This window comes from Homo sapiens, chromosome 14 (assembly GCF_000001405.40).
Source record: "Homo sapiens chromosome 14, GRCh38.p14 Primary Assembly".
Classification (NCBI taxonomy): domain Eukaryota; kingdom Metazoa; phylum Chordata; class Mammalia; order Primates; family Hominidae; genus Homo; species Homo sapiens.
In genome coordinates this window covers 106,465,245-106,482,330 of record NC_000014.9, presented here as the reverse complement: position 1 = coordinate 106,482,330, position 17,086 = coordinate 106,465,245, and the positions used below count along the sequence as shown (strand labels likewise).

The following is a 17,086-nucleotide window of genomic DNA, read 5'->3' as shown; positions in this document are numbered from 1 at the left end:
CGGTCTGGAGAGGCGCGGGGGCAGCTGAGATGCAGGTGGTCCGGGACGCGCGGGGGCTGGCGGGTTGTGGGCGGTCCAGGGATGCGAGGGGGCAGCTGGGACGTGGGAGTTCCGGGGACGCGTGGGGTCGCCAGGAAGCGGGGTCTAGGACTTAGATCCGCTTTCTCTTCAGGCCATGCAGCCCCGAAGCTCCGAATCCTGGGATGACTCCTGTCCATGTTGGAAGGGACCCTGCCAGTCCTGGCAAGGTTCAAAGGCCTTAGGGCAAGAAATGTTAGTAGAGTCCTGGAAGACGATGTGGGGAACGGGTAGCGGCCACCGGATGGTGATCGTTCTTCTACAAGACCTTGACATGGATGGGGAGAAACAGAGAAGAACCTTCCAAGTTTGTCCCACTGGACATGCCCACCACACTTTACCAGCCCTTTCTAGAAGGCCTGTGCGTAACACATGAAAAAGCTCCGCTCGACCTTTCCCTGACCTTTTAAAAGAAAACATTTGCTGCATCTAATCCGCCTAGATATAAGGAGGTTCCCAAATGTATGACAGAGTCAGAAAATTACATGTCTTGTAAGTTACCATGTGCTTGTCTTTTGTTTTCCGTTTTTTTTCGTTTTTTTGTTTTTTGTTTTTGAGACGGAGTCTCACTCTGTCGCCCAGGCTGGAGTGCAGTGGCAGGATCTTGGCTCACTGCAACCTCTGCTTCCTGAGTTTCAACAATTGTGCTGCCTCAGCCTCCCGAGTAGCTTGGATTACAAGTGTGCACCACCACGCCTGGCTAATTTTTGTAGTTTTTAGTAGAGATGGGGTTTTGCCACGTTGGCCAGGCTGGTCTTGAACTCCTGACCTCAGGTGAGCCACCCACCTTGGCCTCTCAAAGTGCTGGGATTACAGGTGTGAGCCACCGTGCCTGGCCGTAAGTTACCATGTGCTTTTTAAAAAAATCATAGCAAAGGGGTGTCTTCTGGAAATGACATTTTGAAATGGTGTTATTAGACCACCCCTGGAAGGGACACAGTAACCACACGTCCACGTTCGTTCAGTGGGTGAGAGGACATGGAGGGGAGACCTGGGCAGGAAGGGAAGAGGGTTCCATGCCAGGCTGCTCATATTTAGAAGACATTTTCATATCATTGTCATTGTTTTCTTGTGTGCGTTTTATTCCTCGCTATTGTATACATCATTGGAAATTCTAAGTATTCTTTTGAAATATCTAGTCTTTCTAGATGTTCTGAAGTGCCTGATGTATGTTAAAATTACAGGTGGTAAAATAATAAATTTTGTAAATATCTTTTTGTTAAAATTCATATGCAGTGTTTTATTTTATTTTGATGTTGGTGGGGGGTGGGGAGGATGGCCAAATCCCTGCTTGATCAACACACATTGCGTTTGTGCTCTGGTTCAGGGGAGGAGAGAGGAGGAGAAAGTGCAGACTTCCAGGCCTCTGTGCGCACCGGGAGGAGAGATTAATGATCATCTCTTCTGTCTGTGTGTTTGTTTTATTTATCTATGGATATCCTGTGTATAAAGGATGAACAAGTCCTATTTATAACATCTAATCTTTTCAGGTGTTAAGTTGCCAGTGTATGACGGAAGCAGCGTTATTAAACGAACGCAGCTTGTACATATTGTGTTAAAATTCATAAAAAGCCAGTCTTCTGAAAAGAACCCTTGGGCCCTCCCTCCGCAGCCTCCGGCGCCAGCTGCAGGAAGACCTGGCCAGGGGAAGGCGGGCGGCACAAGCTGCTGCTGGCTGTGGGGAAGGCGGTGGAGCCCAGGCCTCCACAGGCTCCCCACAGGCTCCCCACAGGCTCGCGCGGCTCTGGTCGCTGGGCTCCGCACGGGCCGCGTGGGGGCGCCTGCTGGGAGCGAGGAGGCGCCATCCTGGCTCGCCTGCTCCAGGAGGACGCTCTGGGCCTGCGCAGATGCAGTTCTCCAGGATGGGCGCGGGCGCTGGGGGCCGCGCTCCTTGGGCTGCTGCGCCTCCACTGAGCCGCCTGGGTGTGAGGACCTCGCGCCGGCGCCTCCGGGAAGGACGCGGAGCCGCCGCGGCCGAGCCCAGGGCTGCAGCTGCTGCCCGACGCCCGCGAGAAGGCCCTTCCGCCACCGCCCGCGGGTTCGAACTTGGAGCAGCTGCTGCCAGCTGAGGCGCCAGCGGCGTCGGGAGCTCCTCAGAGTCAGTGTTTTGTGCTGGATTCGGCATGTCCTCTGAAAACTCGGGAATTTGTCACTGAAATGGTGACAGGAGGTGAGAAGTTTTTTTAGACGTTGCCTTCGCTGACCGGGCGCCGGGCTCAGGCCTGGAATCCCAGCACTTTGGGAGGCCGAGGCGGGCGGATCGCTTGAGCTCCGGAGGTGGAGAAGCTGCCTTCGTGGTAACTGTGGTCTTAAGTTCAGCTGAGAACGATAAATGGCTTTTCCTTGAATTGGCTGCTTTTGTGATTTCTCTCAGGCTCATCTTTCCTCAGTTAAAAATCCAGTGGTAGGTGTAGCTTAGAGACGGGAAATTTTTGGTTTTGTTTTGGCTACACGTAAGTCTTGGAAATTATTTTCTTTTACGTTCCAATGTGAGCAAATCCAGAAGGATGTCAGATTAAACACCGAATTTAACAAATTCAGCCGGGCACGGTGGCTCACGCCTGTAATCCCAGCACTTTGAGAGGCCGAGGCGGGTGGATGATGAGGTCAGGAGTTTGAGAACAGCCTGACCAACATAGTGAAACTCCGTCTCTACTAAAAATACAAAAATTAGCCGGGCGTGGTTGTGCGCGCCTGTAATCCCAGCTACTCAGGAGGCTGAGGCAGGAGAATCGCCGAGATTGCGCCACTGCACTCAGCCTGGGCGACAGAGCGAGACTTCGTCTCAAAAAAACAAAAAAAAAAATCAATCATTGGAATACTGTTGTTCATTACAATTAATGAACGTTTGATACACGCATAAACGCACTAAATTCACGAGTACATATAAGTAAAATAAGCCAAAAAAAAAAAACTACATCCTGTATGATGACACTTTTATACATTCTACAGAATAGAAACTGAAGTGACATGAAGGTCGGGAGTTGAATGGAGAAAAGGTGAGAGAAAAGAGGGAGGAAGGCGTTGCAAGAGAATAAGAGAAAATGTTGAGGGTAATTGATTTGTTTTCTATCTTAATAATGGTGATGGTTACATCAATAATTTCCAAATTGTACATTTTGTGTGTTAATTAGAATTTTATATTATTCAAGCTATTACAAATAAATACCTGTATAAATTTCTTAGGGACGGTGTAAGGGAGATGGATAAATCACATAAAAAGTCAGATATTTCTGAATGTACAATGAATAACCCTTAGCTCTATCTCTATTTTTTGGTAATTCTAAAATGCAGCAGTTTTTTTTAATGTTTTTATTACAAGAAGGGTTTCTTCAAACCACACCAGGTATGCGTAACTCTGGGATAAAGTTGGCTAAGGGAGCTGTGGGATCCGGTGGAGAGGAGCACAGGTCCCGATCCTGGAGCCCATTCTTGTCACATGTGAGCTCCAGGACACATCTCATAGCTCCCTCATGCTTCTGGGTTTACATTCACATCTGTAAATGGAGGACCAATGGGCATCTGCCTCTAACAATGTATTTTCGTGTGTTAAGATAATGTATGCTAAATGTTTACCACAGCACAATCTTTTACTAAGAAATTACATTTTTTCCAAATATTATCATTGTCTTCAAGCCCCACCACCCACTAGAAAACTTCATCTGCTCTGTGCCTTGCCCTGTCCTCAGACATCCTGCCCAAGAGACTTCTATATAGTAGGAGACATGCAAATAGTTCCCTCCCTCTGCTGATGAAAACCAGCCCAGCCTTGACCCTGCAGCTCTGGGAGAGGAGCTCAAGTGCCAGGATTCCCAGGTGTTTTCACTTGGTGATCAGAACTTAACACAGAGGACTCACCATGTTGTTTGGGCTGAGCTGGGCTTTCCTTGTTACTATTTTAAGAGGTGATTCATGAAGAACTACAGATATTGTTTGTGAGTGGATATTAGAGAAACAGTGGATATGTGTGGCAGTTGCTGACCAGGATTTCTCTGTGTTTGCAGGTGTGCAGTATGAGGTGCAGCTGGTAGAGTCTTTTTTTTTTTTTTTTTTCACTTTTTAGCGAACATCCATGGGTTACAAAATAATGGGTTGGCTTTTCTTCCAACACTTTACAGACACCATCAATTTTCCTCTTGCTTATAAGGTTTTAACCAGAAGAATGCTGTCATCATCTTTCCTGTTCTTTTAGAAGGAATGCCCCCTCAACTCATCTCCACTTGTCTGCATGTATTTCTATTTGTCTTTGGTTTTCAGCAGTTTTAATAAGATTCACCTAAATGTGTGTGTGTGTGTCGAGGGGTGTTATGCTATTGTTCTGTGTTCTCTGAGATGCATGGATTCACCGTTTACTCTGTCTCCATTTTTGTGAAAACAATTAGAAAAAAAGTCAGTGTGAGCCTAGAAACAAGCCTCCCTGAAGTGGGCACTGGACCACCTGGGGGCGCTCAGGACCCACTGAGCACAAGAGCCAGCCCCAGGGCAGGTGCAGAGGGGTGTTAAGGTCTGGTTTCCTGTCAGCCCTGTGGCTTCCTCTCCATAAAACAGTTTCCTTTGTGGCACATCTCTGGATTCCTTATCCTTTTTTTCCTGTGAAGTCTGAAGAAGAAACATTTGTCGTAACAAGAGAAAAACTTTCTCATATGCACCAAAGGCAGAGTCACCTACAGTCATTTACTCCTGTTTCTGAATGTCAATAAGGTGTCAATGCTTCTGAAGTTAATCAGCTAAATCTATAAAAGGTGCGGTGTTTAACTCAGCATGGCAGCCCAGCTCAACAGAACTCCAAGGGCCAGTGAGCAAGCAGGCAGGATAAAGTGCATGCTGGGCATTGGGGCAGAGGGAGTTAGCATCCAGTGCAAGAGAAGAAAGCCCCCGTGGTGGTCATTGTCAGGACTCCAAGCCCACAGTTCCAATTGTAGGTGATACTGGGCAAAGGAAGAGAGACCCCACCAATGGTTAGTGTGGATTTCGAGTCTGATGGTTCCACACTCACACTCCAGGTGAATATGAAAACATTTATTAACTCTATTTTTGAGGTGTCTGCTGAGAGCAGCACAGGCCTCTCAAGAAATTTCAAACTGGAATTTCCTCAGTAGACAGGAAAGGAGGCTGGCTCAGGGCTTTATAATGATTTGGTGGTGGGGTTGGGGGTGCGTTTCTACTCAGGAGAAGGAGATTGTGTGATTTAAACCTCACAGGGGCATCAGATAAGGGAGCTTCTGTGATTTCTTACTAGATTTACCACATGCAGGGGATAAGGAGGAGGAAGAATAAACCTTAATTCGTCAGCAACGAGGCACCAAAAATAGGACCTGACGCTTTATTCTCCCTAGCAGCTTAAGAAAATGAGTGAAAAAGAGAGAGAAGAGTCCACTATGTGTGAAAAGCAAACAGGTCTAAAGAAAATAAAAATTTTATTACTGTAAGCACATAATAAAAAGAAAGAGAAGAATGAATGAGACAGGCAGGGGTGCTGAATCAATGTCCTGAGTGGGGCCTTTTCATTATCCACAGTTATCAGTTAATTCTGAAGGTCTCAGGTCAGCTTCCTGCTTCAAAATATCACAGGCCCTTACAGTATATGTGAAAATCCTCGGTTTGTCGTTCTTCACTAAAGTAGCCTTATAATTAGATGTACTTCTGAATTTAATCTTCAGTTGTGTTAAATAAAAAAAAACACAATCTACAATTTAGGAAAGTGAGAGTTTATTTTTATCAAGGTTTACAGCCATCCCATATGCTGGAAAGCATAGCTTTTGGTAAAGACGAGAGAAAGGCACTCCCAGGAAGAAGGGGTTGGGCAGAAGCTTTATGCTGAAGGGTTTGGCTAAACAGACATAATCAACAGGTTACAGGAGGGGCTACTGATGTTCATGGAGGTGGTCCTCACACATGCATACTGAACAAACATGTCTGTAACGTATGACCCCTGTTCACTTACCAGTGGAGACTTAGCATTTAAATTCATTACAGTCAGGCCCTATGTGCCAATAGCAGAAGCAGAAACACAAAGGCACTCAGGGTGCAGCCTCTGTAAACGGCCAGAGCCAGGCCATGGTGAGTGGTCTCTGATCAGGAGAAAGGTCCTGATATCACTCTAGTGTTCAATCAAAGCTGGGGTTATGGCTTGTGGAACAGGGGTCAGTTCATCAGGGGATGGGCTGCAATTGTCTTCATAGTGCTTGTCTCAGTGCCGGTGCTTACTGAGCCGCTAGAGAAAACGAATAACCTATTGGCAGTTAGAAGACAGTTTACCTTTTAAGTGTGGGAGTGAGTGGCAGAACCCTTGCCTGACATGGCTTTAGGTCTTGTTTATAATTTGACATCTTATTGCCACAGAGATTCTGTTCTGTCATTCTTTTGATCTCTATTTTAACATTAGTGTTGGTCATTGTTGTGTCTAAACCGCAAAGGGGAGTGAGTGTAAGAGGCGCGTCTGATCTTGTCATGGCTGGGATCTCAGTTTTTAGGCTTTTCTGGAGTCCCTTAGATGAACAGATGGACTATTTAGTCAGTTGGGGCACTTAGGATTTTATTTTTGTTTTACAGTTCATAAATATGAACCCTAGTATTGACATTGTGCATATTCACTGCTGTGTTGTGGTTAAAATTACCTGGTAAGATTCCCTTCAAAGCCGTTCAAGAGCAATATCCTACCCTGATGTTTCTTCCAGTAAATACCATTCCCTGTTTTAATGTCATTAGAGGCTATTGAAAAGATGTAGGAAAATGATAGCTTAATCTGTCGATGACTGGAGTGGGTAAGATACAGTCATCACTTTCAATGCTTTGTCATGCGTGCATGTAATAGGAAGAGGTGAGCTCTGGGGGAAAATCTCTAAATGTATGGGCCTTCCAGCCACCAAATCATAAGGTGATGACTGATGTCTCACTGAGGGACTTGACTATAATGCTCTAGTGCTAGGGAGAGAAACTTTGGCCAAGGAAGTTCAAGATTTTCTTAAGGTTTTGACAAGTTTAGTTCAAGTATGACAATTTTCTTCAACATTTTCAGAAGATTGTGGATGGGAATGATGCTGAGTTATATAAGTAATTCTAATGCCTTCTGTGTTTAGATAATATTATAAAGAAGACTGTTTGGTATAATGACCCACTACAATATATATACTTTTAGTTGTTACACCATTTCATTTTCCTTTAGGATTTTACTTTCTAAGTTACATGAATCAGTTCCCTAAAATATAGGCGTGCATCTAAAATTTATTCTTTTGTTGAGAATTTTTACGTGTTCCAGAAGATATGAGAAACTTCTTTGCGTGAAGAGCATCCCAAAGTCAGGCACTCCTGTAAAACATGTACTTAATCCTTGTCTTTGGCTTATTGATGAGCTCTGTTGACCACAATAAAACTTCTGTCATGCGGGCTGACTTGACATCAGGTAGAGGAACAGATTCTGAATGTACTACTGAATTGAGTGCATAACCTCCAGTTTCGTTACTGATGTATGATTCATCAGAGATGATACTAGATCAAGGATTTCAATCGGAATCTAATCTAAAAGATGTGAATAAACTTTCCTAATTTAGATAGTATTACTGTGAGCACACTGCTAGTATTCAGCCATGTCTCCTGTCTGTCACACTGAATTCACGCTAACTTTGATCTAAAAGTTAACACTTGTTCTAATGTTCAAATATGTTATTTTTATTCTAATGTCTCTAGATTATTATCTGTGGCTATTTTAGGCAAGAGTGAAGGAAAGCAAGGTTAACTGACTAAAAATGAGAAAAAGCACAACCTAATGTAATGGAAGTCAGGACATCAGCATCTCCAGGCTTGTCTATTTCTAGAGTTCATGCAACCAGGGGATTTCTTTTCTCATTTTTACACAAAGAAACACCCAAATTGTCCATTTCATCTCCCATTGACTCTTATCATCTGTCTCTGTCAGTTTGCTTAGAATTTTGGCCTCCAGCTTAATCCAAGTTGCTGCAAAAACATGATTTCATTCATTTTTACAGCTGCATGGTATTCCACTGTGTATAAGTACCACGTTTTCTTTTTTCAGTCTGTAACTGATCGGCATTTAGTTTTATTGTATGTCTTTGGTACTGTGAATAGCACAGTGATACACACGTGAGTTGATGTGTCTTTTTGTTCCAATGATTGGTTTTCTCTTGGACATATACCCAGTAATGAGATTGCTGAGGGGAATGGTAGCTCTGTTTTAAATTCTTTGAGAAATCTCCAGATTGATTTCATCAGTTCTTGGGCCAAATTATATTTTCACCAAAAGTGTGTAAGTGGTCCGTTATCTCTATAGCCTTGCCTGCATCTGTTAATTTCTGATCTTTCAGTGATAGCAATTCTGACATATGTGAGAAAGTATATCATTTGGTTTTGATTCGCACTTATCTGATGACTGAATATGCTGAGCATTTTTATAGGTTAGTTGGCCACTTCTATGTTTGTATTTGAGAAGTTTCTGTGCATGTCCTTTCTCCATTTTTAATGGGGTTATTTGGTTTATGCTGGTGATTAAGTTCCCTATGAATTACCACCTTACACACACTAAGATAATCAGCATTCAAAAAAGAAAAATGAATAGAAAAACATAACCACTTGTAGGTATAGACATACTGAATTTGGAATGGTCATGGCTTGCATGTTGGTATTGAAATGGGACAGCAACTTTGGAAAATGGTCTTCACAGAAAACCTCATAAATGTAGCTAGTGTCACCACTCACAGAAGTAGATGGAGAATACAACTCAAGTGTCCATCGACTGCCAGAGGGATGAAGACGCCGCGGTGCGTCTGTAACCCACAGGGATGAAGACGCCGCGGTGCGTCTGTAACCCACAGGGATGAAGACGCTGTGGTGCTTTAAAAAGGAGTGAAGCACTGACATAGGCTGCAACTCGGATGGGCCTTGTAAACATTGGGTGAGTGAACTGAGGGAGACACGGAAGTCTACATCCTGAATTGTCCTATTGACATGAAGTATGCAGAGGAGGAAAATCCCTAGAGACAGATCACAGGGGGTGAGTGGAGGGGAAATGGAGAGTGACGCTTAATGGAGCTGAGGTTTTCTTTTCTGTGATGAAAATGTTCCCAAACCAAATACTGGTGATATTTGCACAACATTGCAAATGTGTAAAGTATCACTGACCCGTACACTTAATCGTGGCTAAAATTGTAAATTTTATGTCATGTGTATCTCAACACAATAGAAATGAGCACCACATTTTGTTTAGTGACTCAACAACAATAACATTTAGGTTTAAATTCTGGATTCCCCAACAGAACCAGTGCTTCCTGCTGGAGCTGGATCCATCAGCCCCCAGGGAAGGGACTGGAGTGGGTCAGGTGCACAGGTCATGAAGGGAGCACAAATTCTAACCCACTCCTCAAGAGTCCAGTCACCACCTCCAGATCTATGTCCAAAAACAGCTCTTCGTATGGCTGAGTGACATTAGCAACAAGCACACAGCCATGTTTGTTTTTTTGTTTTGTTTTGGTGTGTGTGTGTGTGTTTTTGATAGAGTCTTGTGTCACCCAGGCTGGAGTGCAGTGGGGCAATCAATCTTGGCTCACTACGAGCTCCACCTCCTGGGTTCAAGTGATTCTCCAGCCTCAGCCTCCAAGTAGCTTGGACTGCAGGCACTCACCACCACACCTGGCTAATTTTTGTATTTTTAGTAGAGACAGGGTTTCACTATGTTGGCCAGGCTGGTCTTGAACTCCTGACCTTCTGATCCACCCGACTCGGCCTCCAAAAGTGCTGGGATTACAGGTATAAGCCACTGTGCCCAGCCACAAACAAGTATTTTTAAGCAAAAGACACAGTGAAGAGACTTCAGTATGAGCCCACACACAAACCTTCCTGTGGGAGTTTACAGAACAGCAGTGGGTGCTGAGGACAGAAGCCAGCACCCAGGAACCAGCAGGGAAACCCAGGGGGCATTTGGCACCGCCTGAAGGCTCAGGACCATTGTGGGGCTCAGTGGTCAGGCAGGCTCAAGGTTCAGCCTCAGAGCAGGTGTAGCAGGCGGGGAAAGGCTCTGAAGACGGAGTTTAGTGTCACCTTCTCATTTCCACTACTAAACACCCTCCAGCACATCTATTCTAATGTGTATGGGTGTTCATGTGTTTAGAGAATATTATTTATGTTATGAATCTATAGCCATCTTGTGGGTGCATCAAGTTAACCACTTCAACCTATGTGGACCCTGTTCATTAGGAATAAGTCCCTGTATTTGAGGACCTCACAAATTAATAATTATGTAGAATCACTTTCTTTTTCAGTCTCCTTTCCTTCCTCTTTCTTTCTTTCTCACTCACACACTGACAAACACACGGGGTGCCATAACATTAATTACCTGATGTATTAAAGAATATTGATTCATTTGCAACTTGACCAGTTTAGCTGTTGTTCATGTTGTTGTAAGATCAGGAACATGTTTCTCAGCTGTGTACTCCTCTAAGCTGAGCAGCAGCTTTATTTGAAATACACAGAAACTGAAAACAATCCAAATATTAATCAGCACCTTCATAAGTAAACAAATTGTGGAAAAGTCGTTTATTGGGATAGTACCCACTACTACAATCAGTAAATGTTGGATACGATCAACAGCATGGTTCAATTCACAAGTACATATGATGAGTATAGTGAGCCAAAGCACATACATATGATTCCGTTTTATAAACTGTACAAAGTGAATACTCATTGGAAATTACATAACAAAGATCACTAACTGACTTCTCCATAGTAAGAGAAGCGAAGGTATAGGAGGGAGAAATTGTGAGAGACAAAGAGAAAATTGAGAGGCGAATTGATTTGTTTTCTCTGTGAATGGTCATTAGGTCAATGTTTGTCAAATGGTGAACATATTGTGTGAAGATTATATGTCTGTATTACTTCATTAAAGCTATTATAAATAAAAGTCTAATGTGGTAGAAAAAGATGAAGAGAGAAATAAAAATAATACAAGAAAAGTCATGAACTCCTGAATGAATTAACCCTTAGTTTTTCTCTATTACTTATAAAAACACCAAGATACAGCCAAATAATATCACGATATCATTATAAGAAGAGTGTTTTGTAAACCTCACTGGGAATTTATAGCTCTTTCCTAGAGTTAATTTTGGGAACAGTTGGATCCAATTGTGAGAAATGCAGGCTGGACACTGAGACTGGCTCTTATGAGATGTGAGCTCTTGTCTATGTCACATGGTCCTTCCATACTTGGGGGTTTACATTCACATCTGTAAATGAAGGAAACATTGACTCTCAAAGAACATATTTCATGTGCATGTAAAAGTATGAATGCTAGTGAGAATTAATTACTTATGAAGTATAATCACCCACATCCACTCTTGGACACAGCCCACTCTGAGGCATCTGTTACAGAACTCATTATATAGTAGGAGACATGCAAATAGGGTCCTCCCTCTGCTGATGAAAACCAGCCCAGCCCTGACCCTGCAGCTCTGGGAGAGGAGCCCCAGCCCTGAGATTCCCAGGTGTTTCCATTCGGTGATCAGCACTGAACACAGAGAACGCACCATGGAGTTTGGACTGAGCTGGGTTTTCCTTGTTGCTATTTTAAAAGGTGATTCATGGATAAATAGAGATGTTGAGTGTGAGTGAACATGAGTGAGAGAAACAGTGGATATGTGTGGCAGTGTCTGACCAGGGTGTCTCTGTGTTTGCAGGTGTCCAGTGTGAAGTGCAGCTGGTGGAGTCTGGGGGAGTCGTGGTACAGCCTGGGGGGTCCCTGAGACTCTCCTGTGCAGCCTCTGGATTCACCTTTGATGATTATACCATGCACTGGGTCCGTCAAGCTCCGGGGAAGGGTCTGGAGTGGGTCTCTCTTATTAGTTGGGATGGTGGTAGCACATACTATGCAGACTCTGTGAAGGGCCGATTCACCATCTCCAGAGACAACAGCAAAAACTCCCTGTATCTGCAAATGAACAGTCTGAGAACTGAGGACACCGCCTTGTATTACTGTGCAAAAGATACACAGTGAGGGGAAGTCAGCGAGAGCCCAGACAAAAACCTTGCTGCAGGAAGACAGGAGGGGCCTGGGCTGCAGAGGCCACTCAAGACACACTGAGCATAGGGTTAACTCTGGGACAAGTTGCTCAGGAAGGTTAAGAGCTGGTTTCCTTTCAGAGTCTTCACAATTTCTCCATCTAACAGTTTCCCCAGGAACCCTGTCTAGATCTGTGATCTGGATCTGCTGAAACTGCCTGTGTCACCTTCCTCACCTGTGACTTTGGGGGAGCTGATTGTGGACACTCCAGTGTGTGGGATTTCTTGGTGACAGCAATTGTGTCTTCTGTCTAGGCATGTCTAGGGCTGGCCATCAGGAAGGGCAGGCTGGAATTTTTGGAAAGAGGCGCACCTGCCATCCACCAGGAAATTTTGTTGTCTTTTGTTCTGCTAGAATTAAATCAGACACACCAAGGTTAACTAGCACTATCTTCCTAGCTTGAGAAACTTGATGGCAGGCTTGAATAACACCTGTATGAAGCCATCAGAGCAACAACTAGATTAATGTCTGCTAGAATTAAATCAGGCACACCAAGGTTAACTAGCACTATCTTCCTAGCTCGAGAAACTTGATAGCAGGCTTGAATAACACTTGTATGAAACCATCAGAGCAACACCTAGAATAGTGTCTGATTTAATAATTGAGACTATGGTCTAGCCAAGGAGACACATAAAACATGATTTCCATGGTTGGTTCATATTTTATATTTATTAATAGAATCTGGCTGGTATTATAAACAGCTTTGCCAAAATATATGTGTTAGTGTTGGTCTTCGGAGAAGCAAACTCTGTGACTGGATTAGCTTCGTGTACAGTTTCCTTCGTGTACAGTTTCCCTGTCCACTCTTCTGAGAGGAAATGCAGAGGTGGTGGAAGGGGTCTGGGGTAGCTGAATGCATGTGAGGGAAGTCGGTCCCTGAGTGAAGGAGAAAGGGAGGAGGACTGGGTGGAACTTTCCTAAACTTCTGTGTTGTTCTATGAAGGTCCAGCAAGGTCACTGAATCAGAGTCGTGTCACAGGTTCCCATCAGGGACCCAGTGACTCCCAGCAGTGGCTCTGCTCAGATCAGCGCAGAGCTTGTTCGTCTCCTGAGAGTGGAGCACAGGACGTGGCTCCAACACCAGCCATGGCATGGAAGACAGAGAGCAGCCCTGGGTGCCTGGGTCAGGTGCATTGTGCTCCCTGCAGGTGGAGGGAGGGAAGTGCTGACTCAGGGCCCAGAGACTGTGGGTTCTATACAGAACATACACTTTTACTTCATTTCTGTGGATGACATAGAAACAAACATGCAGTCTGTAAACAATGGTGATTCCTACATTTGCCCCAATTGCTTTATTCCTTAATTCTGCAGAATGTCCTGGCACAGAATTGCCTTTCTCATGTGGAATTGTGACGTGTGTTGAGGATGTGTGATCCCTACTTTCATTGTTTTCCTCCATGTACAGAGCTCCTAAATAGAGTACAGCTGACCCTCCTTCTACACTGTTGCTCTCCTCCCCACAGAAAGAGCAAATAATTACCTGAGGCTGAATCTGAGGTGGGATCTGTCCTCTGAACCTCAGAGCCTGCAGAGACCCCCAGCTGCAGATTCATGGAGTCAGGTGTTTGTACATGTGGGAACCTTGAGCTGTTCTTTTGTCAGTGAACACTCCTTAAAACTAATTGTGGGTTCAGAATTAGGACACCCATTGATCTATCACACCTCAGCTCATTCTGCCACTCAGAATCTCCAGAAATTCAGGAAATGGTTGAATGTACATTTTTGTGACAAATTTTTCTCATTTCACTTAGTTGTGAGTTTGGTTAGCAGAAAGTGCTACCATTTATGGGTCCCAAACTGATGAAGCTCATTTGCTTCAACAGAAGTTAGGAGGCTCCTAAAACTTCTCATCAGCCCTTCTCTCTGCACTTCATGTGAAATTCAGTTTTACCTGGAATTCTGGTGTGTTGGTTTAGCCAGAGTTCCCCATCCTCCATGTCTGATTTTCCTGGGTATCTGATCAGTTTCCTTGCCCTTCACCATACCTCGGTGACGTCTAATCACCCTGGCCCAACATCAAGAATTCTGGCAGGTTGGTTTAAGCAAGATTTGCTGTGCCCCTGATGTTTCCTCTCAGTAATTTTCCATCTTCCGGACCCCACCCTGCTGCTTGGCTTTAAATCCCCATGTTTCCATTCTGCATTTGGAGTTCAGCTGAATCTCTCTCCTCACTGCAAAACACCATTGCCCTGATCCCGACACCTACCATGAGGACCCTGGATAAAGTCTTCCTTACTGTGCTGGAACAAGTGTCTTTACTTGATATTTTTTCTTTAATAAATCTACCTTTAGTGCTTCCTAAATTGCTCAAGGAACCTCGAAAAATAAGATAAGTGCGATTATCCATTTTACTGTGTGTGTATGTGTGAATTTCAATTTCCATGTGTGGTGTCCAGAAGTCCTGAGCACAAACAGTTTTGCTTCTCTGTCCAATTCTTTGCTTCTGAAAGCCAGGAGTCATCCCAACATTGGTAAATTGGCGATTTGTTTTTACTATTTAGTGACTGACATATTTCACTTAACCTGAAGCTTCATGAACACATTGATGAAAAGTAGATAGAAGACTTGTTTGGAAATGCCAGATTTAGGGTAGACTTTACCACCCACGTGTGTCTGGAGATCTCCTTAGGATTCCAAGAACAGGGTGGTTTTTTTCCACCACAGGACAAGGATGAGAACCTCCAAGCTGTGATGATAAAGGACAGGCAGGGCCATGTGTGGACAAGGATGGGCTGCTGCCACGTCCAGAGTGTTCTCTCCTAGCAACGCCGCCATCTCCTTCCTCACACTGTGGTATTTGTCAGATGGGAAACATGCCTAGAATTTATCTTTGACATATGGATGGAAGCCCAGGCTAGAGGCATTTGACAGCTTATTTCTGAACCTACTTCTTTAAGGAATGCCCAGATCCCTTGCTCTGCTTCCTGGTTCTTAACCCCTTTAGCTCCCTTCCGCTCCTGCACCCATGCACTGCCTCTTTACGGCCACTTCCCCACACCCTTCACTGTAGCACCATTTTCTTGGGCTCCTTGGAAATATCACAGCTTTGGTTTAACTCACAGATCAGGCACACTCATGGGCCCCTCCAGAGGTTCTCGATTTCCCTCCCTCAGGCTCCTCCCTGGGGTCCTAACTTGGCCATCTCTATCCTCTCTTCTCAGCCTGGCCATCCACAATCCATCCCATCTGGACTTGTGTATAGCACTGGGTTAACTCAGCAGGTATGAATTGTTCAAACCCTGCACATTCCTAAAAAATAACTAAAAAAAAAAAAAAACTTTTGTTCATTTATTGCTGTTACCTACTGTGATGAGATCTCCGAGTCCATAAAATATTGCACCTGATAACAGTGTCTGTGGATGTCTGTAGCCTTGGGACATGCGGTACAAGTTTAATCAGTGATTTATAGTGAATGTCTACTTTTGTTTTGCTGGAGAGGGCTGTCGTCTGAGTATTGTGGTCAGTTCCCCAGGTGTTCCATAGTCTATGATTCATTCCCCAAACACAGCCCTGGACAAGAGAGCTCAGCGGCACTCCCCTTGTTGTCAACACTTCACACAAGCCATCTTACCTCACAGCTGAACAATTACACATGTGTAGAAGGCTCCACTGTGAGAGGACACCTGAGAGCTTGTGCCTGGATTCTCCAGGGCTTCACTCCTTGTGCCTTTTGTCTTTACTTATTTTAAATTGTATCATTTTTCTGTAATAAACTGTTCCTGTGAATAGAACAGTTATGAGTCCTATGTTTTTACTGATTTTTCAGCCTACAGGTGGCAGATGAGAACTCTCAACACAGTTGTGTTAGAAGAAGGATTTCCTAGAGAGACCCTGACTCAATGATGATACATGGCTGAAGCATTGCATGGAAAACGTAAGTGTTCAGGTATGGAATGGCAAAATTTGATACCTGGGGAGTGACAGAATACTACAGTCTATTACAGCAGCTGAGCTGAAATCGGTTTCTGGAGGTAAATGGGATTTAGAAATTATAAATCCAACTCCCAAGGAGCTGGCTCAATCAATACATAATGAAATGTGAAATGATTAGAAATAGCCTACATATGCAATTTCCATCTGTGAGAACTAAGTGAAAATCCAGGAGAGAGTTGGCAGGGAGAGGGATACTGCACCAACCTCAGATTTTGACCATTTTCATTTAGGGCTGATGGGCTCATGACCACTAGAGTTAGCAATTACACTGTGATAAAAGATAAAAGCTTCACAAACTCTACCCACCCAGAAGGGGGCTCAGGTGGTGAAATAGGGAGGGTAAGGCATGAAACGACTGAAATATGGGAGGATAGTGAGATGGGTTCTCTCTTTTTGAGTTTTATCTTTTGCTTCTTTACTAATTTTTGTTAATCTGGATTTGGAGAATGACTAGTGTAAAAGTGGATTCTGTTTTGAGTCCCTTAGAATGGAGGAGAATGTGTGGGCCAATGTTGTGCCCAGAGACTACTACAGAACAATAGTAGATGAATGTACATGACCCAAACACAAAGCTTTGTGGTTGCTGATGGGAGAGCTGCACTGCCCTGGCCTACTGGATAACAGCTTCTCCAAAGTGTATTTACCCTGACAATGGAGATTGCCTTTCTCTTTTAAGTGAAAAAAATGGAACACTACAATAAAGTAGTGGTAATGCTGTGTGTGTATGTATAAGACATTCTGGAGTGGGTTTGTGATAATTGGGATATGTATCACTTATCCTTTTATTTGTATAAATTTATGGGGTGAAAGTGCCGTTTTGTTACATGGATATATTGTTGAGGGATAAAATCTGGGCTTTGAGTATAGCCATCATCTGGATGGTGTATATTGTACCCATTAAGTAACTTCTCATCCCACATGCCACTCCCACCCTCCCAACCTTCCAAGTCTCCAATATTTCTTATTCCACACTCTGTATCCATGTGTACATATTATTTAGCTCTCACTTAT

General features: G+C 44.0%; 2 pseudogenes, 1 gene segment (V, D, J or C) and 1 further gene; all 4 read left to right on the top strand.

The window, feature by feature from the left end:
• The window catches only part of IGH (immunoglobulin heavy locus), a 1,293,408-nt gene that overhangs the window by 397,514 nt on the left and 878,808 nt on the right, over positions 1-17,086 (top strand).
• IGHVIII-44 (immunoglobulin heavy variable (III)-44 (pseudogene)) lies at positions 3,938-4,114 on the top strand (annotated as a pseudogene). Its single transcript is given in 2 exon segments — positions 3,938-3,983; positions 4,083-4,114. Coding segments are annotated over 2 exon segments (78 nt in total).
• IGHVII-43-1 (immunoglobulin heavy variable (II)-43-1 (pseudogene)) lies at positions 9,331-9,540 on the top strand (annotated as a pseudogene). Its single transcript is given in 1 exon segment — positions 9,331-9,540. A coding segment is annotated over 1 exon segment (210 nt).
• On the top strand, positions 11,611-12,068 carry IGHV3-43 (immunoglobulin heavy variable 3-43). The segment is given in 2 exon segments: positions 11,611-11,656; positions 11,760-12,068. Coding segments are annotated over 2 exon segments (355 nt in total), but the record flags the coding sequence as incomplete, so codon positions are not given.